The sequence below is a fragment of the Homo sapiens genome, chromosome 12, assembly GCF_000001405.40.
Source record: "Homo sapiens chromosome 12, GRCh38.p14 Primary Assembly".
In the NCBI taxonomy this organism is placed as follows: domain Eukaryota; kingdom Metazoa; phylum Chordata; class Mammalia; order Primates; family Hominidae; genus Homo; species Homo sapiens.
The window spans coordinates 111238874-111262313 of record NC_000012.12 but is presented as its reverse complement, the minus strand read 5'-3'; the positions used below and the strand labels follow the sequence as shown (position 1 = coordinate 111262313).

General features: G+C 49.4%; 1 protein-coding gene across 7 annotated transcripts in view, besides 1 other annotated feature; it reads right to left on the bottom strand.

Annotated features, from left to right (window-relative positions):
* The window catches only part of CUX2 (cut like homeobox 2), a 316390-nt gene that overhangs the window by 88241 nt on the left and 204709 nt on the right, over positions 1-23440 (bottom strand). The window lies entirely within an intron of this gene.
* Positions 12698-13365: an enhancer, noted in NCBI's record as "H3K4me1 hESC enhancer chr12:111686753-111687420 (GRCh37/hg19 assembly coordinates)". NCBI's record gives its function as "activates a minimal SCP1, AML or CMV promoter by ChIP-STARR-seq in primed H9 embryonic stem cells {active_cell/tissue: H9 hESC(primed)}" and the evidence as "EXISTENCE:reporter gene assay evidence [ECO:0000049][PMID:30033119]".

The following is a 23440-nucleotide window of genomic DNA, read 5'->3' as shown; positions in this document are numbered from 1 at the left end:
TCCAGCATGGATGACAGTCTCTCATTCCCTCAACAAATGTTTCCTGAGCACCTGCTATGCACCAAGCACTGTGGGCTGAGAACCCAGCCATGAATAAGGCAGACTCATGTCCCACCCTTATGGGACTTACAGTCCGGTGGGGACACTGGCATTAAGGCAGCTTCCCCAGATGACTCATTAATTACAAGTGCTAAACGCTTGGCAGAAAAGCACAGGGTGGCCTTGGGAGTGTGTAAATTGGGGGGAGGCTGACCCAGTTTGGTAACAGAACATCAGGAATTATCTCCCTGAGAAGGGGAAGTCACTTGGGGGAGGGCAGAAAAAAAGTTCTAGAAGCTAGACAAAGGGAAAATCACCAAGCTGTAGGTAGGTCTTTTTTAAATTTAAATTTTATTTATTTATTTATTTAGAGACAGAGTCTTTCTCTGTTGCCCAGGCTGCAGTGCAGTGGCACAATCTTGGCTCACTGTAACCTCTGCCTTCTGGGTTCCAGCAATTCTCCTCAGCCTCAGCCTACCAAGTAGCTGAGATTACAGGCACCCGCCACCATACCTGGCTAATTTTTTTGTATTTTTAGTAGACATGAGGTTTCGCCATGTTGGCCAGGCTGGTCTCGAACTCCTCACCTCAAGTGATCTGCCCACCTCGGCCTCCCACAGTGCTGGGATTACAGGCATGAGCCACTGCGCCTGGCCCTGTGGGTAGATTTTTGTCCTTGCTTAGATGGACAAGAGTGAGTTTCTGGGGACATGCAATTGAGTGGGAGACACAGCTATGGCCAGTAGGAAGCGTAACCACTGCACACCAGCCTGGGCAATAGAATGAGACCCTATCTTTACAAACAAAACAAATGCACAGGAGGAGGTGCAAACACTGGTGGCTCCTGTGAGCCCTGAGGAGGGGGCAATTCATTCAGAATCTTGGGGCGGGGGCGGGGGGCATCCCTGATGGGCTAATAAAAACAAATGGCATCGACCGTTTACTGTGTGCCAGAAGCTTTTACTATTCATGAGAGTCTGTCTCCACGGACACATCAATCACCGAATGGCTGCTGCCACCTGCCCCATCATACAGATTAGAAAACGGAGGCTCAAGGACGTCAAGCCACTTGCCCAAGGTCACCCGGTTAGCAAATGGCAGGGCCAAGATTCACACCAGGTCTGGGGATTCAAATTGCCACTCTGAATTCAAATGCTGCCTTCCTTTTGTCCTGGATAGAAAAATTACCCCAGCCAGTGGGGCCGGGTGTTCAGAGCCCATGAGGATGCCGCTGCCTTACAAGCCAACTACAGCTGCCCTGGGCGAGAGGCTGCGGTGCTGGTGACTTGGCACCCAAGAAAACAATGAGAAACAAAAGCAATTCATCTCATGGGTCTTAGAAGGAGAATTATCAAAGACCAGCCAGAAGAATGACTCAATGTTCCATTTTACGGTTGCCTGAGCTGAGTGCATGTGGTGGCTGGGGTCTGAGGAAAGGCACTGGCCTCCAATGAGAGACTGAGCAAGGGTGGGGACAAGTGCTGGAAGATTCCTTTAATGTTTCCCTGTCCCTGCCTAGAGCACCCCCTACTTTCCCTTCATGGCACTTATCAGTGTATAATGGTCCATGATTTATCTCTTCCAGTGGGGAAGACTAAATCTAACATTATAAGGAGGATGACAGTTTTGGTCTTAAGTTTTCCCCACTGGAGCGGAGCTGTTCAATAAGGCAGCCACCGGTCCATGTGCTACTGAGCACTTGAAATGCAACGATTTCAAACTGAGATGGGTTGTAAGTGTAAAATATAGCATTTCTAAGTCTAAGAAAGAAAAAGGAATGTAAAATACCCCAATACTTTTTTTTTTTTCCTGAGACAGAGTCTCGCTCTGTAGCCCAGGCTGGAGTGCAGTGGCACGATCTTGGCTCACTGCAAGCTCCACCTTCTGGGTTCACGCCATCCTCCTGCCTCAGCCTCCCGAGTAGCTGGGATTACAGGCGCCCGCCACCATGCCTGGCTAATTTTTTGTATTTTCAGTAGAGACGGGGTTTCACCGTGTTAGCCAGGATGGTCTCGAGCTCCTGACCTCATGATCTGCCCGCCTCGGCCTCCCAAAGTGCTGGGATTACAGGTGTGAGCCACCGCGCCCGGCAATAATTAAAAAAAAATTTTTTTTGGACAGTCTCGCTGTATTGCCTAGGCTGGAGTGCAGTGGTGTGATCTCGGCTCACTGCAACCTCTGCCTCCCAGGTTCAAGCAATTCTCCTGCCTCAGCCTCCTGAGTAGCTGGGATTACAGGTGCCCACCACCACGCCTGGCTAATTTTTTTGTATTTTAGTAGAGACAGGGTTTTACCATGTTGCCCAGGCCAGTCTCAAACTCCTGAGCTCGGGCAATCCACCCGCCTCGGCCTCCCAAAGCCAATAATTTTTATATTGATTACATTTTGAAATGCTAGTGTTATGAACATATCAGGCTAAATAAAATATATTATTAAAATTAAATTCACCCACTTCTTAATTTCTTTTTTTTTTTTTTTTTTGAGACAGAGTCTCACTTTGTCACCCAGGCTGGAGTGCAGAGTAGCTGCAATTACAGATGTGCACCACACACCTGGCTAATCTTTGTATTTTTAGTAGAGACGGGGTTTCAACATATTGCTCAAGCTGGTCTTGAACTCCTGATCTCAAGTGATTTGCCTGCCTCAGCCTCCCAAAGTGATGGGAATACAGGTGTGAGGCACTGCGTCCAGCTACACTTCTTACTTTTTAAATTGTAACTACTAGAAATTTTAAATTACAAATGTGGCTTGTGTTCTTTTCCTGCTGGACACTGTTGATCTCATGGATCAATGGTTGGCAATCTTTGGTCCTTGGTGTGAATCTGGCCCTTCATCTGTTTGTGTAAATAAAGTTTTATTGGAACAAAGGCATGGTCACTGTTTTACGTGTCTATGGCTGCTTTTATGTTACAAGGACAGAGTTGTGTAGTTGTGAAAGAGACTTTGTGGCCCGCGAGACTAAAAATATTTTCTATCTGGCCCCTTACAGAAAAAAGTTAGCTGATCCTTGCTTTAGGGGTTCATCTAACAGCTGGATAATATTTTTAAAAACAGAGATAAGAAATTATCCTGAGGCCAGGTACAGTGGCTCACACCTATAATCTCAGCACTTGGGAGGCCAAGGTGGGAGGATCACTTGAGTCCAGGAGTTTAAGACCAGCCTGGCAACATAGCAAGACCCTATCTCCACACACACACACAAACACACACACACACACACACACACACACACACACACACACAGCTGGGTGTGGTGGTCTACACCTGTGGTCCCAGCTACTTGGGAGGCTGAGAAAGGGGGATCACTTGAGTCTGGGAGGTTTAGGCTGCAATGCACTCTAAGTGCACTTGTGTCACTGCACTCTAGCCTGGACAACAGAAAAAGACCCTGTTTCAAAAAAAGAAAAATAATCCTGAAAAAATTAGTCAGGTGTGGTGGTGCACCCCTGCAGTCCTAGCTACTCAGGAGGCTGAAGTAGGAGACTCGCTTGAGCCCAGGAGTTCGAGGCTGCAGTGAGCTGTGATCACACCACTGCACATCAGCCTGAGCAATAGAATGAGACTCTATCTTTACAATCAAAAGAAATCCTGGACTGGCACTCAGTGTGAATCAGTTCATGTTTAGGGCTTCCCAAAGTCAACGGACTTTCAAAGACAGGAGCCGTGTAGATTTCCTGCCTCATTCAGTCTCGTTTCAAGGCAATGACTGGCTGTCTGTGGAAGGCCAGGTCCCTAAATTCCTCTTTTTTTTTTTTTTTTTTTGAGATGGAGTCTTGCTCTGTCGCCCAGGTTGGAGTGCAGTGGCGCAATCTCAGCTCACTGCAACCTCCACCTCCCAGGTTCAAGTGATTCTCCTGCCTCAGCCTCTTGAGTAGCTGGAATTACAGGCATGCACTACCACGCCTGGCTAATTTTTATACTTTTAGTAGAGACGGGGTTTCACCATGTTGGCCAGTCTGGTCTCAAACTTCTGACATCAGGTGATCCGCCCGCCTTGGCCTCCCAAGGTGCTGGGATTACACGCGTGAGCCACCGCGGTCCTTAAATTCCTGATGGCATCAGAGCCTGACCTGGTACTGGGCCTAATGTCACTATGAGCATCTCTTGGCCCCAGTTTGTCCGTGCATCAAGTGGGAAGAATAACCTCTACCTGCCTACAAAGCTGTTGGGGCAGGATGAGCTAACATGCAGCAAAGAGTCCCATGGAAGCTGATGAAAGCTTTCAAATAAATCAGAAAATTCTTCTTCTAATCACATAGGATATCTTTTCCAAGGGCTGAAACTCAATGCATTTCACCCACATGCTGAGAACAAGTGAGCTTGGCATAAAAGGCCATGTTCAATAAAAGGCTGTGTGTTTCTGTCTCATGGCTCTGCCCAACCACACAGAAGGGCAGCAGCAAAGTGCCCAGAATGACAGATTTGCCCTATGACAGGAACACCCTTGAAGGCCATGTGGAAAGGAGGAGAAAAAGACAGGAAGAGGAGGAGGAGGATGGAGGAAGGGGAGAAAGAGGGAGGAAGAGGAGAAGAAAGAGGAGGAAGAGGAAGAGGAGGAAGATGGAGAATGAGGAGGAAGGGGAAGGAGGAGGGAGGAAGAGGGGGGAAGAGGGAGGAGGAGGAAGGAGGAGGAAGAGGGAGGAGGAAGAGCAGGGAGGAGGAAGAGTGAGGAGGAGAAGGAGGAGGGAGAGGAAAGAGGAGGAGGAGGAAGAGTGAAGGGGAGGAGGAGGAAGAGGAAAGAGGAGGAGAAGGAGGGAGGAGGAAGAAGAGGGAGGGGGAGGAAGAAGTGGGAGGGGGAGGAAGAAGTGGGAGGGGGAGGAAGAAGTGGGAGGGGGAGGAAGAAGTGGGAGGGGGAGGAAGAAGTGGGAGGGGGAGGAAGAAGTGGGAGGGGGAGGAAGAAGTGGGAGGAGGAGGAGGAAGCGGAGGAGGAAGAGGAGGAAGGGGAGGAAGAGGGAGGAGGAGGAAGAAGTGGGAGGAAGAGGGAGGAGGAGGAGGAAGAGGAAAAGGGAGGAGGAGGGGGAAAAGGGAAGGGGAGGAAGAAGTGGGAGGGGGAGGAAGGAGAGGGAGGAGGAGGGAAGAGGGAGGAGGTGGAGACCATCCACAGACACCCTCAAGAAGGTCACTGTCAGGAATAGCTCAGCATCTGTGGAAGCACATGGCATTTACGCAGCCCACTGTGATACGAGGGGTGACAATGTGTTTAGTCCCCCGAGGATGAACGCAGCAGGTGTAGAACTGCTTCTGCCAGGGGCGAGTCAAGCCTGTTCTAGCCACATAGCTCTTTTCAGCCAGGTGGTTAAAAACAGAAAATTTGGGCCCCCTCCCCTAGGCTGAGCTCCACCAAGCTGTCTGAGGTCGCAGGGACATCTGGGAGCCACTGAGAACCACTCTGTGCCAAGTTCTAAGCCTTACTATGTGCTCCAGGCATCTTCTTTGAAATCCCCGCCTTCCCCCAAGCACACCTTTAGGATGTGAGCATTGTGACCGGCCCTGTTCTACAGAGGAAGAAAGAAACTAAGGGGCAGGGATGTTAAGTCACTTGGCTAAGATGAGAGCACTAGTTAGTGGCAGAGGTGGTATCGGTGCCCAGGTGCCTCTCACTCCAGGGCCCAGACTTGCAGCTGCAAACTGTGCTTCTCCAAGTGCTGTGGGCATGAAAAGGGGGACCTGCCATCGAGACTGCACAACTCCTTCCCTGGGTTCCGTGGAACATACTTTGAGAGCAGCCTCCCTCTACCACTGGGTCCTGGGCTCTGGAGAGGGTAGGGTGATTCTGAGAGATGATGGGGGGTGGACGTCTGATGTGGCAGGAATTCCAGAAGAAGCTGAAGACTGGTGGACAAGCGAGAGGAGGCAGGTGCTTGGAGGGTCTCAGAATGAACTCGGGCAATGGAAAGGCAACCCAGAGATCGGGGAATGAAGGAATGAGCTGGGTTCAGAGGGGAAGGGGTGTCCCTTGATGGCCTCTGAAGGCTGGTTGTTCCTTTAGGGCATGCAGATCAGGGGGCCACACAGAAGGCAAAGAGAGGCAAGAGTACGAGGGGGGCTCAGAGAAGAAAGGAGGGCCATGGAGAGCTAGGGGGGCTGTGGTGGGAGATAGGTTTGGTGCGGTGGGTAGGGGCCGATGGGCCGTGGAGAGGAGCGATGAGAACCCCTGGAAGCCATGAAGCAGGGCCGAGACTTGCTCAGATGTACCAGAGGGGGAGGGGCTCCTGTTGACCACTCAGGGGTGCTTTGGGGTCTGGGTGGGAGGTACTGAGCTCCCCACCAGGGGAGGCATCCAAGTACATGCCCCTGTATCTGTGAGGCTGTAAAGGTACTCAGGGAGACCCACATGTGGGGAGGTCTGGCTAGACTATCCTGAGGGTTCCCACTCACTCTGACAGTCCCTGTGAAAGATCCCTTTTCTTTACAGCACCCTTCTGATTTCCTACCACCCGGAAAATGGGGGTAACAGCTACTTCGATTGGCTGATTTGTGCATTATTATTGATGATAACAGTGACTACTGAGCACTGACTCTGTGCCAGGCACTGTGCTATGTACTGGATGCACATTAGCTTAACCCTCATCACGCTGCGGGTGTGACTATCCCATTTAACAGATGAAGATGTCGAGGCACAGAGGGTGATGGCCACATGGTGCTGGGAGCTGAGACTCAGAGGCAGCTTAGTCTGACAGCAAAGCCCATGCTTCTCAGCCTCCACTCAGAATCGATTCTTTGGTTGGGGGCTGGTGGAAGCACCTGGAATAACCAAAAGAGCTGGAGGAGCCAGGCCGGCAGGTAGGTGGGGGACGGGAGGCCAGGAGGAGCTGCAGGACTCAACCCTGCCTGCCTCCAGGTGTGTCTGCTGGGGCCCCCGTTCCCTGGCGAGTGCTAACGTGCTCTCTGCCATCCATCAGTGATGCCGCTGAGCAAATGAAAATTACATTTTAATGTCAGGGATTAAATAAGAAATAAGTTTGACTTTTGTTTTTGATAGCTACTGTTGTCAAACTGGGTTCTCAGTCTCCTGCTAAAATGGGGCAGAAATTGGAGACCCTCTCTGGCCCTCTGGAGGGTCACCCAGGGGTCCCAGAGAGGCCCCATCCTAGCCTGTTTCAGGAGCCAGCACTAGCTGGTTCTAAAGACTGATTAAGGTTGGGTGCGGTGGCTCACGCCTGTAATCCCAGCACTTTGGGAGGCCGAGGCGGAGGGATCATCTGTGGTCAGGAGTTCGAGACCAGCCTGGCCAACATGTGAAACCCCGTCTCTATTAAAAATACAAATATTAGGAGAGTACCTGTAATCTCAGCTACTCAGGAGGCTAAGGCAGTAGAATCTCTTGAACCCGGGAGGCAGAGGTCGCAGTGAGCCAAGATCGTGCCACTGCACTCCAGCCTGGGTGACAGCGCAAGGCTCCGTCTCAAAAAGGAAAAAAAAAGACTGCTTGGCTGGAACAGAATTAACGCATTTGGCCACCTGTCATTGTCATTGTTTTGCCTTCTCAGATGTAAATCACTAATTCATTTTGAATTCCCAAGTGTAAGTCACTAATTCATTTTGAATCCTTAGGGGTAAGTCACTAATTCATTTTGAACCCTCAGGTGTAAGTCATTAATTCCTTTTGAACTTTCAGGTATAAGTCACGAATTCATTTTTGGACCCTCAAGTGTCAGTCATTAAATCGTTTTGAGCATTCAGGTGTAAGTCACTCAGTTTGAATTCACAGGTGTAAGTCACTAATTCATTCTGAACTCACAGGTGGAAGTCATTAATTCATTTTGAACCCTCATGTGTAAGTCAGTGATTCAGAGCTTGAGCTCTGAGGCCCCCTCTCCTCAGATGTGCAGGTCCAGCTTCCAGATTCTGCCCTCTATGCCTCAACCTGCAATGATGATGGGCACGGGGTGCACAGCAACTCTGCAACAGCAGCAGATGGTGCATACTGAGCACCTACTATGTGCATGCCCAGGGAATCAAGCCAGCCCTCCCCCAGTGCCTAAATACATAGTGATCCTTAGGGATGTCTGGAGAAGCACCAGGCACCCTGATTTGTGTTTGTGTTTTAGTGAAAGGAGGTGTTTGTGCTTGGTCTGGATTCTGAGCATCCCTACCTCTGAACACAGGGCACCCACGCATCCGTCAGCATCTGCTGACATCAGGGCTGCAGGAATGCTAGCTTCTATCCAAACACTGCTCCATTTCCTCAACTAGCCAGTGGGCATCCCAAGGGTAGAGACTAACATTTAAAAAAATTGAATATGGCTGGGCATGGTGGCTCACACCTGCAATCCCAGTACCTTGGGAGGCTGAGGCTGGTGGATCGCCTGAGGTCAGGAGTTCGAGACCAGCCTGGCCAACATAGTGAAACTCCGTTTCTACTAAACAAAAACAAAACAAAACAAAAATGGCAAAAACCACAACTACTTTTGAGGAAACAGAGTGAGACTCCATCTCAAAAAAAAAAAAAAGGCTGTTTCTAAAAAAACAGTATTTTATAAATGAAATAAAAATAAAATCATACATGCAAAGCATTAAGACGGTGCTTGACCCATCACAGATGCCTAATACATTTATTTGCTTAACAGATATTAATCAGGCATCTCCTAGGGATGGGGCTGTTCTAGGTACTGGGCATTCAGCACCAAGCAAGACTGGCGCAAACACCTACCTCTGTGGAGCTGACATGTTTAGAGGCAGAGGCGAGCAATGAAATAAATCATGAAAGAGAATGTGGGACAGTCGTCAAGTGCAGGGGAGGAGAATGGAGTAGGGAGGTGACAGGAGTCCTGGGCAGGGCATGTGGGGCCACAGGAGGGGAAGGCGTCGTGGGGAGCTTTGGGAAAGAGTATTGCAGACAGCGAGAACGGCAGGTGCAAAGGCCCTGGGGCAGGGGCTGTCTGGCTTGTTTGAATGCCAGCAGAGAGGCTGGTGTGGCGGGAGATGGTAGACGAAGGGGAAGAAGAAAGGGGGTCGGGAGGTGAGTCGGGGGGAAGAGCCCTGGGGGTCACTGCGAGGGCCCAGTCTTTTTCTCCAAGGGGTCTGAGGAGCCACGGGAGGGTTTTGTGCAGAGGAGAGCAGATTCATGTGATCTGACACGCGTTTTAACAGGACCCATCTGGCTGTTGTGCGGAGAAGGGACTGAGGGTCTGGGGTGGAAACAGGGAGACCAGGGAAGTGGCTCCTGCCGAGTTCCAGGAGAACAACCCAGGCGGCTCAGAGCAGGATGGTGGCAGTGGTGCTAGGATTCTGGGATTGTGAAGGTCGAGCCACAGGATTTGCTCCTTGGGAACACAGAGTGGATGTTGGAGGCATAAAAGCAACAGAGGGGCCACGGATGACTCCACAGCTTGGGGCTTTAACAACTGGATAATCATTCATTCATTCATTCATTTAGAGATGGGGGTCTCCCTATGTTGCCCACACTGGTCTGGAACTCCTGGGCTCATGTGATCCTCCTGCCTCAGTCTCCCAAATTGCTGGGATTACAGGTGTGAGCCACTACGCCTGGCCTACTAGATGATCTTCAATGGCTCCTGCTATGACATTAACATTTTTCTCCCTCAGAGCCCAGGCGGGGCTGGGCACAGAGTGGGCAATAAACCAACACTGACTGAATGAACAAACCATGAATAATATAAGGAAGGAACTTAAGAGCCTCCCTGAGCTAATCCTGCCAAGCTGCCAAACTTACCTAAAACCCCGAGGCTTCCCAGAGAACAGTGGAGAATGATGCCCTCCTAGTAGCTCAAACTCAGCTGAGGTCCTGACTGCTCTGTGGAGACCTCTTGCAAGCTCCCTGGTAGGGAGGGGACAGAGGCCCAGGATGTGCCCCAGAAGTCCCAGCACTTGTCTTGAGGAAGCAAATAGCAGGGTAGGAAAGAGGAGAAACTAGCCTGGGGGTGAGGAGACCTGGGTTCTGGTTTTAACTGGGGCCTGCATCCCCATTCACCTTGGGCAGTCATTTTCCCTTTCAGAGCCTCAGTTTCCCCATCTGTAAAGTGAAGGTGCTGGGCTATGGGCCGAAGGCTCCTTCAAACTCAGTTGTGCATTGATTCTAGATTCTAATTCACCAAGGCAGATATAATATACATATCTTTTAGAGATGGGGTCTCACTCTGTCACCCAGGCTGGAGTGCAGTGGTGTGGTGCCATCATAGCTCACTGTGGCCTCAAACTCCTGGGCTCAAGCGATCTTCCTGCCTCAGCCTCACAAGTAGTTGGGACTACAGGCACACGCCACCATGCCTGGCTAATATTTTCGTTTTCTTTTTTTGTAGAGGTGGGGTCTTGCTATGTTGCCCAGGCTGGTCTTGAACTCTTAGCCTCAAGTGATCCTCCTGCCTTGACCTCCTAAAGCGCCGGGATTACACGTGTGAGCCTTGTAATCCTGGCCCATACAGACAGATAGAGAGACAGAGAGACAGACAGATATTGTCTTGTCCTCACATGAACATCCCCTGCACCCCTCTGGACCACCGCTGGGATTTTAATGAGGCCAGTGCAAGACCTAGGAAGCCCACCTACCCACCCAGGCTCTGGCTGAGGGGAGGGTCTGCAGGAAGAGGAACACCATGCAATTTTATTCTAATATTTGTAATTATTCCCAGGGTAAAAATAAGGCACAGAGCAAAGTGTTTTCAAATGTCGGCATTAAGAACACTTTTGATCCAACATAATACAATCCCCCAAATGCATTTATGTCAGGCTCCCGGAGATACCGCGAGTGGTGTTCCGTGCCAGGCTGGCTTTCACGGCTTGGAAGCAGTGCAAAAATGAAATGTCCCACAAGCAATGGCTGGCAGGCCTGCTATTAGCAACAGTGTAATCATCAATTATGTCCAATCACAAACTGCTGATTTTATAATTATCAAATGAAGTTCTAACTTCTCACCTCCGCTCGGTGGCAACTAATATAATCGCTCAGTTCCAAAAGGAAGCTTTTTTCCCTTTTCCTTTTCCTCTCGTTCTCTCTCTTCTGGGGGAAAAACAATTTCCAGGCCTCCACGTAAGACTGCATTTAAATTGCTTGTCACTCAAAACAAAGGGGAATCACTCATTTGTAATTCACCAGCTACCTGAACAGACTGCCTGTTTTCCTCGAAGCATCCATGCACCGAAGCACAAAGATCATTTTTCTATTGTTAAAATTGTATAAGCCAGGGCTTTTTTTAGCAGTAAATCCACAATTTCTCTTCTCTTCCGAGGGCTCCTGGCATAAAAGGGACAGGAGGCTTTCTTTAGCGCCTTGCAAATAAATTTCGCTTTTGGGTATTAAAAAAAATACACTATACGCTCATATAATGAGCCGAAAGCTGCAGTATCAATTCTTTGTATGGTCATATATGGAGATGAGACCAGGGCAGAAGTTATGTTTCCTGCCCTGCCTGGGGTGTGGCCAGTACATGAAGCTGGGAATCCAGATCCACTTTCATGGGCTCTGGGAAGCATCTATGTCCAGTTTTCTCTTTTTGGGAGCTGCTGATGCCACAAGCATGGCCCCACGCTGCTTGGCATGTGGCTGGCAGGTCATGCACGCAGGAACAACCTAGAGTGGGTGCTCCGGCTCTGACCTTGCCATTCCAGCCAGAAGCAGTTTCCAGCTGTGTGTCTTTTGGGCCACCTCCTCCCAGAGGAACAAACCACAGACAATTGCCACCAGCCCCCTGTGTGCAACTGATGAGGATGTCTTCCCAAGGCTCAGCCTCCGAAGGCCAGGCTCGTTTTGCCAACAGTTCAGTTTTTCTGCCTAACTGATTATAATCATAATACCTTCCAATTTTAATCTAGAGCTTTTTATAGCTTACAAAGACCTTTCACGGGAATTAGCGCATCTGAGCCTCCAAACGCTCCCAGGGGCAGCCCTGGGTCCTCTTGTTTTAGAGGCCCAGAGAGGCTGAGAAGGCGGCTCCAATATACACACACGAGGGGCCAAGGCAGGGTGTGAATTGGGGGGCGGGGGGCTGTCTTTGGACTCAGAGCCAGTTGTGTGGTAAGGAATTTGGGGCTGGAATCTGTGTGACACCCCCACCCCCACACCTGAAGTGGGCAAGTGGCTTCCATTTTGGGTAATTCAGAACAAACTCAGGTTCACCCCTAAAATGTCCCTTCTGTCACCTGAATGTGCTGTGATTCCCTGAGTGGAAGGGAAAGGGGGTGGGCTCCCACCAGGAGCTCTTTGTCAGCCACTTTGGCCTTTTTTTTTGTAGCAGCCATGAGAACTAAGAAATATTCCCGATGGCAGTGACACCGTCCTATGTGACACTGTGATGGTGGGTACATGACATCATGCATTTGTCAAAGCCCCTAGAACTTTGCAACACAAAGAGTGGCCCCTCACGTAAAGTATGGACTATAGTGAATAATTGTGTCTTGACACTGGTTCATCACGGTAACAAATGCACCACACGCTAATGTGAGATGTTAGTCATCGGGGAATTGGGGTGGGGGAAGAGGGAGTCTATGGTAACTCCCTATACTTTCTGCTCAAATTCTCTCTAAGCCCAAATAAAACTGCTCTAAAAAATAGGGTCTAGGCTGGGCGTAGTGACTCATGCCAGTAATCCCAGCACTTTGGAAGGCTCAAGGCAGGCTGATCACCTGAGGTCAGGAGTTTGAGACCAGCCTGGCCAACATGGTGAAACCCTGTCTCTACTAAAAATACAAAAATTAGCTGGGCATGGTGTCGCGTGCCTGTGATCCCAGCTACTCAGGAGGCTGAGGCAGGAGAATCACCTGAACCTGGGAGGCAGAGGTTGCAGTGAGCCGAGATTATGCCACTGCACTCCTGCCTGGGCAATAGAGTGAGACTCTGTCTCCAACCCCACTAAAAAAAAAAAAAAAAAAACAAAAAAAGGGTCTATTAATTTAAAAAAAAAAAAAAAAAAAAAAAGGCAATAGCACCCGGGACTTTTTCTCAGTGCTTATCATGTCAGTTCAGTGAATCTGTGCAAGAGCCCTGGGGTCCGTATCCTTCTCTTCCTCATTTCACAGATGGGGAAAATGAGCCTTCAGAGAGGTGGGGAAACGTGTGCAAAGTCACACAGCAAGTGGCAGAGCTCGGATTTCCAGCCCGGGCTCCAGAGCCTGTTCTCTGCGCTGTGTGAGTAAAGGGATGATGCATGATCACTGGGCTCTTGCCAAAGCCTGCCCCTCCCCATGGGATACTGCCATGTGTGCTCCCTGCACATGTGTGTCCCACCTCGTTCACGGGGGTCACACGACACACGAGACTGGGGGCCATGGATGGTGGGTCCACGGCCAGATGCACCCCATGGACAACATATTTTCTTGGACCCTCCAGTGTTTTAAAAATATTTGAGCTGTCAAAATTCATCAAGTTATACACTTAAGATTTGCGCATTTTACTGTATGTAAATTATACCTCCATAAAGTCCTGTGAGCATGAAAATATGTGCATATATATTGAGCCAGTATTTAAAAACCAGAAGAGTTCCAAATTGCTGGCTTCTCTTGGGAAATTAGAGGATCTGGCCACCCTGGGCCCATGTTTCCATCGACAGCGGCCACCTGGAGCTGGGTGTCAGCCGTCTGTTGGGACAGGCTGAGGGTCTGCATTTGGCTCCCCGTATGGGTGTGAGCCCGTCCAGGCCCCATGAGCATTAGCGTTTCTCTGTGGCCTAGACCGACACCCCCTTTATCCTGGCTTCACCCCCCTCCTTGAAATTTCTCAAAGCCCACCAGCCCCTCCCCCACCCTGAAGGAGTGATTGCATAGCCGGGTGACAGACAGACAATGCTGCAACAGGAGGGCTGGTCCTTGTCCTACTTCTGCTTCCAGGCAGCATCCACCTCCTCCCCCTATGGCTGGCAAACTGCCAGCCGAACCTCCATGTGAGTCCTGCACACAGAAGAGGCCCTTCTGACTCAGTTCCAACCTGGGCTTGGAGAAAAAGGCCATTTGCGGTGCCTGCAGGAACGTGAGACTTCCTGGGTGGTGAGGCATGCCTAGGTGGAGAAAGAACTAGCAGCTTTCCTGGAACACTCTGTGCCTCAGTGTCCCCACCTAGAGAGCAGGGACATCGGGACCCAGCTGGGGTGTGAAGACACCAGCAGTTAAAAGATATGCTTTGGGCCAGACGCAGTGGCTCACGCCTATAATCCCGGCACTCTGGGAGGCCAAGGTGGGTGGATCACCTGAGGTCAGGAGTTCAAGACCAGCCTGGCCAACATGGTGAAACCCTGTCTCTACTAAAAATATGGAAAAAAAATTAGCCAGGCGTGGTGGCGGGCACCTGTACTTCGGTTGCTGAGGCAGGAGAATCACTTGAACCCAGAGTCTGAGGCTGCAGTGAGCCAAGATTGCACCACTGCACTCTAGCCTGGGTGACAGAGCAAGAGACTCTGTCTCAAAAACAAAGAAACAAACAAACAAAAGATATGCTTTGTTCACTGTTAAACACAGGGTGAGGTTGGCCAGGCCACAGACGGTTCTTGGAATTTCTGGCCAAAGGGTTGTGAGGGTGTGTGAGAAGATGACATCATCTAGGGGGAACATGAGGGGTGGACGCCCCTGGAACATGAGGGCTGAAGCCAAAAAACCAGAGCGTGGGCAGAGGGTCAGCAATGCCAAGAACCCCTCTCCCCATCCTGCCCCCAGCAACAGGCGCCCTCTTGAGACTTGGGGCTGTCCAGGGTCTACATGCCAGGCCCCAGTGACACCTGCTGCCCCCTGACCTGGCTTGGTGATCCTGACCTGGCCCATGAACTCTCGCCACCCTGTGCTCTCTCAGCCCTGTGCTGCAGTAGCCATGTCTCTGGGAAGGCTGCAGGGATCCCAAGTGGCAGCGGCCTCCCCTTTGCAGTGATCCTGACAAGTTCTCCGAAATACCAGCTCAGAAGAGCGGAGCTAAAAGAACATGTCTGCCCTTTCTGGAAAGGCGGCTGCCCAAATGTCACTGAAGTGCTACCCTGCCCAGGCTTTTAAATATAGCAGCGTCCTTTCTGGACGTATCTGTGGAGTGTGGCTGGAGACAGCCCCGGGAGAGCCTCAGCCGGGCATGCATGCCCTCCACTGTCTGATCCCAGCCCAGTCTAGCCGGGGTCCTTGCTGCCTAACTTTCCACGTGCGGTGCTCGCTATGGACTCAGCCGTCTGCAGTGGGCTCCAGAGGTGAGGAGCCTGGGTTTGATTCCCAGTAAATGCCTCCCTCTTTGTGGCCTTGGGCACAAATATCCACATCTGAGGGTTATCATCAGGATTAAGGTGATGATACATAAAAGGTGCTTAGCACATAGCCTAGCAAACAGAAGATACTCAATAGATGTTGATTTTATTATCATTATGATCCTTGATGTACACAGCCCTATGCCAAGATGAACAAAACACAGCCCCAGCCCCTCAGTCCTAGAGTCAGAAAGACATAGACCACAGCAGAGGGTGGCAGGGAAGCAGCGCTTTGAGGAGGGACAGTCAAGGACGGAGTCATGTACCCTGCAGGGCACAGCTAGGAGGGCTTCAAGGAGGAAGAGGCACAGGCTCACACAAGAGAGGCAGGCCGTTGATTCAACAGGAGGGAGAGCAGTTGCATACAAAGGTGAGAGGTGAGAAAGGACCTCGCCTTGCCAGACAACACCCACAGTCCATTCCTCTAAGTCCAACTTTGCAAACGTGGAGTCTGTGGTCCAAATTCCACATGCACTTTGTTTTGCTCAGGTTTTAAAAATGATTGATGTTAGCCAATCTTTAAGAATCCGGAGATTTTTGTTTTTTGCATAAAAATCAAGATTTCCAGCTTCTCTGGAAGAATTGGAAGATGTGGCCACAGTAGTGTCACGTTCCCCCATTATAATCACATTGATCACACAAAGAGGAATACAGTGAATTGGAGGGTGGCCAGTGTGCTGGGCACCGTTTTAAGTGCTTTATATGTATTAAGTCTAGAAATCATCCTAAAAGCCCTGTGAGGAAGGTGCCTGTGCTGGTAAAGGTTTAACAAGTGGCTGACTGGTGAGAAAAAATAAAAAAGGTCTGATTTGTAGTGTCTGCCAATGGCTGTGGTGTAAATACTCCCACCATGGCAGATTTCATGCAATCAGTGTCACTGATGGTGGCGTTCACTATATGAATCTCTGTGTCACACCAGTGGCAGGTGCGGTTATCATTTCTACTTTCCAGATGAGGAAACTGAGGCGCAGAGAAGTCAAGAGACTTGCCCCGGGTCATGCAGCTAGGAAAGCTGGCAGAGTAGGGATCGGGAGACAGAGCAGCTTGGCCCTGAAGTTTGTGCTCTCAGCTCCTGAAATGAGCTGCAAGACCAGACTGCTTTAATCTGCCTGAGCGGGGTACAGGCCACTCCTTCAGATGGCTTACAGAGTCCCCACCTGCCCCAGTCCCCACGCCTCCCTGTTGTCTCATCTGTGCCTGCGTTGTCCATTTTGTGCACCTGCCAGGCCCCCGTGGGTAACTGAGGTTGCAACTCTGCTTTGGGGATGAAACGCCACCCTGGTCCTACTTTTCTGTTTGTGTCCAGGTTGTGGACCTGGACACAAACAGGAGGCACTTGGGTGGGGCATACCCAGCTCCTTTTCCTCTGTCCCTACCCTGTCCCCTTGCACCTGACACAAAACGCAGAGAAAACCTCTTAGCTCGAATGCTCCTTATTGTTTTCTCATTCTCTTTTTCCCAGGAATACCAGCAGCATCATTTTTCTTTGAGACAGGGTCTCGCTCTGTTGCCCAGACTGGTGCAGTGGTGTAATCATGGCTCACTGCAGCCTCGATCTCCTGGGCTCAAGTGATCCTCCCACCTCAGCCTCTGGAGTAGGTGGGAACACAGGGGTGTGCCACCATGTCTGGTTTATTAAAAAAAGAAAAATTGTGCTTCTGGATGACTAGATAGATAGCATCAAAACAATGGAAAAAAATTAAGAAAAAAGTAAAAAAAAATTTTTTTTTTTGGGTAGAGATGGGGGTCTCACTATGTTGCCCAGGGTGGTCTCAAACTCCTGGGCTCAAGTGATCCTCCTGCCTTGGCCTCCCAAAGTGCTGGGATTACGAGCGTGAGTCACTGTGCCTGGCTGCACCACCAATTTAATATAAGCATTTTTTCTGCTCTCCTTCTCACCTCCTGCCATACCATAGAACAAAACTTTGAAACAACATGATTTATAAGGGAAAAAAATACCAAGAACAGTTCACCTTGGGTTGGAAATACAAATGGTGCTGTATCCCCTATGCTCTGTGGGGAGAAGTTGCTTCCATTTCTCAGAGTAGGGGGGCTTGGATGGGGACCCCATTTTTCATTCTGTTTCTCAAAGACAAGCAGCCTTGAGAAGCCCCCACAACAGCCTTCATTGCTCCCAGCTAAGAGCCCAGGATGGCAGCAAATGAGGGAGAGGCATGTATTTGGTGGGAAGCATGGAAATAATCATGTGTGAGTAGATTTTTGAAGTAATTTAATTACCTTGCACAGCAATGAAATCTGGTTTCTGCTTTCATTAATGACCAATGACATGGGCTGAGGTTTCCTGACACCCTGGGGGAGAGGAGTTTATGCAACCCCAGGCAGCCTCAACTGTTCTGTTCTGATCAGTCCTGACCTTGCTACCAATTGCCCCCTGCCCCTGCCTTGGGATTGACTAGGCTGTACACTGGGAAAATCCTGATGGAAGTGCCCAGCATTACCTGTAAGTAGATTTGCTAAAAACATTGAACCTGAACCTGATCATGCCTCTAGATCCAACTGCTCATACATAGCAAATACAAGGATGGAAGAACAAGTTAAATGACACCACGGGGTCGTGATCAGCAAAATCTCAGCTAGAGGTAACGGAACTTGCTCAATGTCTTGCAGCTCCGGACAGAGCTGGGATTGAACCCAAGCTCATGAGCACAGTGCTATCTAGCGACAACATGGGGAGCTGGAGAAAGCACAGCTGGGCTTCCCAGAGGACGGGACAAGCACCCAGAAGAACAGCCCAGAACCAAGGTGGGTACTTCCCCACTAGGGGTGAGGTCCCTCCTGCAGCCCCCTCTCTAGGCCGACTTTCTCAGCTGCCCCACACACTTCCTGGGTGGAAAGTGCCCATCACAATGGCTGCCTCAGCTTCTGGGTTCACCCTACAGCACCCATGCTAACAACCCAGTTTGGGAGGCCAAGGTAGGAGGATTGCTTGAGCCCAGGATTTCGAGACCAGCCTGGGGAACTCTGCCTCTTTAAAAAAACAAAAACAAAAAAAAACCCAAAAAGCTAATAACCCAGACCAGTCAAAACCAACCAGTTCTGAATTCAAACTCCTGGGATAATGAATATCATTGGCTTAGCTTGAGACCAGCATCAGCCCCTGGTCCAATCAGCTGCAGTCAGAGGAAAGTTTTTAGGAAAAACTGTTCTGGTCACTTCCACATACAAAGAGCAGGCACATGTGCTCACGAACACACATGCACACACACATACAGGAAGGGATGGACAGGGAGCTTACAGATGAGAAGACATGGCTTGACCAACTTGTCTCAGTTTGCCTGGGACTTTCTTGGTTTTAGCATGGAAATTTGTGCACCTCAAGACCTTCCCAGTTTTAAAACTGAAAGTTCTGCTTGCCGGGAACCCCTCAGTCCAGGGCCAAGCTGTGACAGTTGATCACTCTACTTAAGAGGTACATCTTAGCCAGACATGGTGGTGCATGCCCGTAGTCCCAGCTACTTGGGAGGCTGAGGTGGGAGGATCACTTGAGCCCAGGAATTTGAGGCTGCAGTGAGCTATGATTGCACCACTGCACTCCAGCCTGGGCAACAGAGCGAGACCCTGTCTCAAAAAAAAAAAAAAAAAAAAAAAAAGGCACATCAACCAATCATAATGTGTGAACCTATTTGAGTCCTGATATAAACAAAAATCTGTTTCAAAAAATGGGAGGGCTAACCAGGGACACTGGGTATTTGATGACATTAAGAAAGTACTATTAAAATTTTGAGGGTAGATCATATTGTGGTTACATTTAAAAAGAGATTCCTTTTTTCAGAAATATATACTAAAATATTTACAGGTAAAATGATACAATGACTTGAGTTTTCTTCAAAATAATCTAGAGGTGTGAGAGGAAGGTGGCTATGCAGGAATAGTTGTTGAAACTGGGTCCATGGGACTGACCAATTATTTTATTCTCTTTACTTTTGTATGCTGGATTTTTTCCATAATAAAGAGTAAAAGAAAACCTACCAAAATGCCCATCAATGATAGACTGGATAAAGAAAATGTGGCACATATACACCATGGAATACTATGCAGCCATAAAAAAGGATGAGTTCATATCCTTTGCAGGGACATGGATGAAACTGGAAACCATCATATTCAGCAAACTAACACAGGGAGAGAAAATCAAACACCTCATGTTCACACTCGTAAGTGGGAGTTGAACAATGAGAACACATGGACACAGGGAAGGGAACATCACACACCAGGGCCTGTCATGGGGTGGGGGACTAGGGGAAGGATAGCATTAGGAGAAAAACCTAATATAGATGATGGGTTGATGGATGCAGCTGCCCCGGCTGGAATGCAGTGGTGGAATCTCGACTCACTGCAACCTCTGCCTCCCAGGTTCAAGCGATTCTCCTGCCTCAGCCTCTGGAGTACCTGGGATTACAGGCATGCACCACCACGCCTGGCTAATTTTTGTATTTTTAGTAGAGATGGGGTTTCACCATGTTGGCCAGGCTGGTCTTGAATTCCTGACCTAAGGTGATCTGCCCACCTCGGTCTCCCAAACTGCTGGGATTACAGGCGTGAGCCACCATGTCTGGCCTACAAATCTAATCTAGGAACACAGATCAGCAAACCTGTTTCATCAAGAGCCACGGAGCAAGTATTTTCAGCTTTTCAGGCCACCTGATCTCTGTTGCAACTCCTCAACTCTGCCCTTGTCGTGGGAAAGCAGCTGCAGGAAATATGTGAACGAATGTGCATGGCTGTGTTCCAATAAAACTTTATTTGGCCCACGGGCTATAATTTGCCAACCTCTGGTCTTGAAGGATTCAGTTTCATCACTTATTTGCTGTTGCAACTTAGGAAAGTCACTCAACCTTTAAGGTTTCCTCCCCTGTAAGATGGGGATAATAACAGTTCTGTATCAGGCCAGGATTCAATGCGATAATGAATTGGGCTTGGCCCAGTGTCAAAGTGAGTAGTAGGTCCTCAACAAATAGCAGGTGATACTGTTATTGATCTGTCATACTCTGCTAGAACATTTTGTTCACTGCTTAGAACAGCATCTGGCACATAATAGAAGCCCAATAAATATTTGTTGAAATGATGAACAATTATGTCTGCCCCTGTCAAGCAAAGAAAGCAAGGATGAGAAAACATGGTCTTTTCATGACTTTTCAAACTATCAGCCCATCTTGTACATTGAAAGAGGAAAACTTAGAACAGAGACATGAGTCCTACTTCACACAATAAGGAGTCAGCTCATGAGATCTGCTTCCTAAGACTGCATAGCTGAAGGCTGAGTTTTGTAAAGTGTCACGCTGTCAGGGGTGGTCCCAGGAAGCTGGCCAGCCCAAGTTCTGATGATCAGTATCATGGAAGAAGCAGATTGCTCCAGCTGCCCCTCAAGGGCCTGGCCAGAAACATGGGTTGAATGAGCCATGGGGTCGGGCCAACGTGGGATGTCTACATCCAGTCTTGGCCGCCATGTTGTTTGAAATGAAAATTAACTCTCAACTGTTGGAGTAGGGCTCCTTGGAGCAGGTGCTCCCCTTTCACAGGGAACCTGGGGGTGGGGTGGGGGTGTTAAGTCTTGATCCTAGGAAAAGCATGTGGAAGAATGAAACAAGATGACATCAGGGCTTGGCTCCAATGGGCTAGAACTGGAAGCAACCCATTCTCAGCAGCATGTATTTCTTTATCTTGACTTCTGGACAAACTGCAGACTATTGGGCTCTGCTATGGTTTGGACATGGCTTGTCCCCATCAAAACTCATGTTGAAGTTTGATCCCCAATGCAGCAGTATTGGGAGTCGGGGCCTAGTGAGAAGTGTTTGGGCCGTGGGGGTGGATCTCTCATGAATAGATTAATGTCCTCTCTTGGGAATGGATTATTTCCTGAGAGCAGGTTGTGAAAGAGTCTTGCTTCCTTGGTTTCTCTCTCTTGTTTCCTCTCTCACCATGTGATCTCTGCATACGCCCTCTCCCCTTCCACCTACCACCCCAAGAGGAAGGTGGCCCTCACCAGATGCGGCTTCCCAAACTTGAACTTTGCAGCCATCAGAACGGTGAGCCAAGTAACCCTCTTTTCTTTATACATTACCCAGCCTCAGGTATTTTATGATAGCAACACAAAACGGACTAAGACAGGCCCCTCTCCACTAGCCTCCTGGGTGGCTCTACCTGGTGGCATCTCTGCCCAACTGCTGACATGGGGCTGGTTGGCATCGGCACACCTGCAGAGCTTTCTAGACCCTGAGGTATTAATAGATACCTAACATTTCTGTTTGCTGAGAATCACTCCACCATTCCTCCAGAGAGCAAAAACCCAAATGTCTTCAGGAACCTCACAGGTAGCTAAGTCCAGGAGGTGCAGTAGCCCAGAGGAGATGAGAAGAGAGGCTGAGGGGAGACTGGACTCCATCCAAGGCATTCATACTCAATTTTAGGACAACTCTGTGGTAAGTGACATGAGGGTGGATGAGGTGGATGGCCAGGCTGCTCATTTGTGATCTTCTTTCCTCCCCTAAGATTGGCTGTGGTGGCCATTTTTGCACCGAGGCATTGTCCTGACCTCAGCCGATTGGACCAGGGGCTGACACTGATCTCAGGCTAGACCGGTGATACTCATTAACTCGGGAGTTTGTATTTAGAACTGGTTGATTTTGACTGGTCTGGGTTGTTAGCTTGAGTGCTGTGGGGGAACCCAGAAGGTAAGCAGCTGCTGTCAGGGGGTACCTTCCACCAAAGTCTATGGGGCAGCTGAGAAAGCCAGACTAGAGAGAGGGCTGGAGGGGGGACCCTAGCCCTTGTGGGGGAAGCACCCACCTTGGTTCTGGGCTGTTCACCTGGGTGCTTGTCCCACCCTCTGGGAGGCCCAGTTTTGCTTTGTCTGGCCTCTCATGCCAGAGAGCCACAGGACAGCACTGTGCTAGTGAGCCTGGGCTCAAATCCCAGCTCCACCATTGGCTGTGAGGCCTCAAGCAAATCCTCTCACCTTGATAAGCCTCAGTTTCTTCATCTGTAAAGTGGCGAGAATAGCAATACTTCCCTCACAGGACTGCTGAGGACTAAATGAAGGATACGGTCTGCATAGCTGGCGCACAGCTAATATTATAACCAATTCTGCTGTGAAGCTCACTTGGCCGCATTTTTGTTTCTTGCACCCCAAAGTTTTCACTTAAAACTGTCCTCCAGCTGCCCTTGACAATGACCCTGTCTTTGTGGAGGACCCCAGGATAATGCTCCAGGTGCAGGGGGGTCTCCTTCCCTCCCCGACCAACACCAGGGATAGAACCCAGACAGACACAGAACACAGACAGAGATGCTGCACTTACTCCTGATGGCCCAGGTAGCCCTGGCAGGTGCCATTCCCCCACCCCACTCATTGTAGAAAGCAACAGGCGAGACAAACAGATGGAAGAGAAATGGCTTTTCCCTCTCTCCCTAAATAACAAGATGGGAAAAAAAGGGAAGGAGATGAAAAGATTGCCACCAGCTAAATCAAAGGGAATTGGCCATTTTCGATGATAAACTTTGCTTAAATGCCATCCCTACAGCCAGGTACAAAACCACCCTGGGGCCAGGACTGGTGAGGGGTCCGGCTTCCTATTGCCTGTCGATGTATCATTAATTTCTTTTTGTTTCCTGCTAAGGCGTACACCCGACTCAAGGTGAGAGAACGCAACTGGGCTGCGACTTCTCAGATTGATAGATTGTGTTTCTGTGCTGGGTCCGTTTCATGCTTGGTGACTCTGCAGCAAGGCAATTATCACTGTGGAATGCATAATGGCCTAATTAATAACTAATGTCAGCTTGGCCTCTGAGCCATGATTATACTTCTGCAAACCAACTTTTTTTTTCTTTTAAACATTCTGAGAGAAAAATATTATTGTAATTGACTGGTTAAACTGTCAAAGTGTCCCTAGCCTGTGGACACATGGTATAGTAGGAGACACACACAAAGACTAGAATAAGGAGAGGCGTTCTGCTGCCAACTGGCTGTGTGATCTTGGCCAACGTTTGAGTGTCTCTGTGCCTGAGTGTCTGCACCTGTAAATTGAGCCATTTATTTATTTATCTATTTAGAGACGGAATCTTGCTCTGTCACTCACACTGGAGTGCAGTGGTGTGATCTTGGCTTACTGCAACCTCTGCCTCCCAGGTTCAAGGGATTCTCAAGCCTCAGCCTCCCGAGTAGCTGAGACTACAGGCATGCACCACCATGCCCAACTCATTTTTGTATTTTTAGTAGAGAC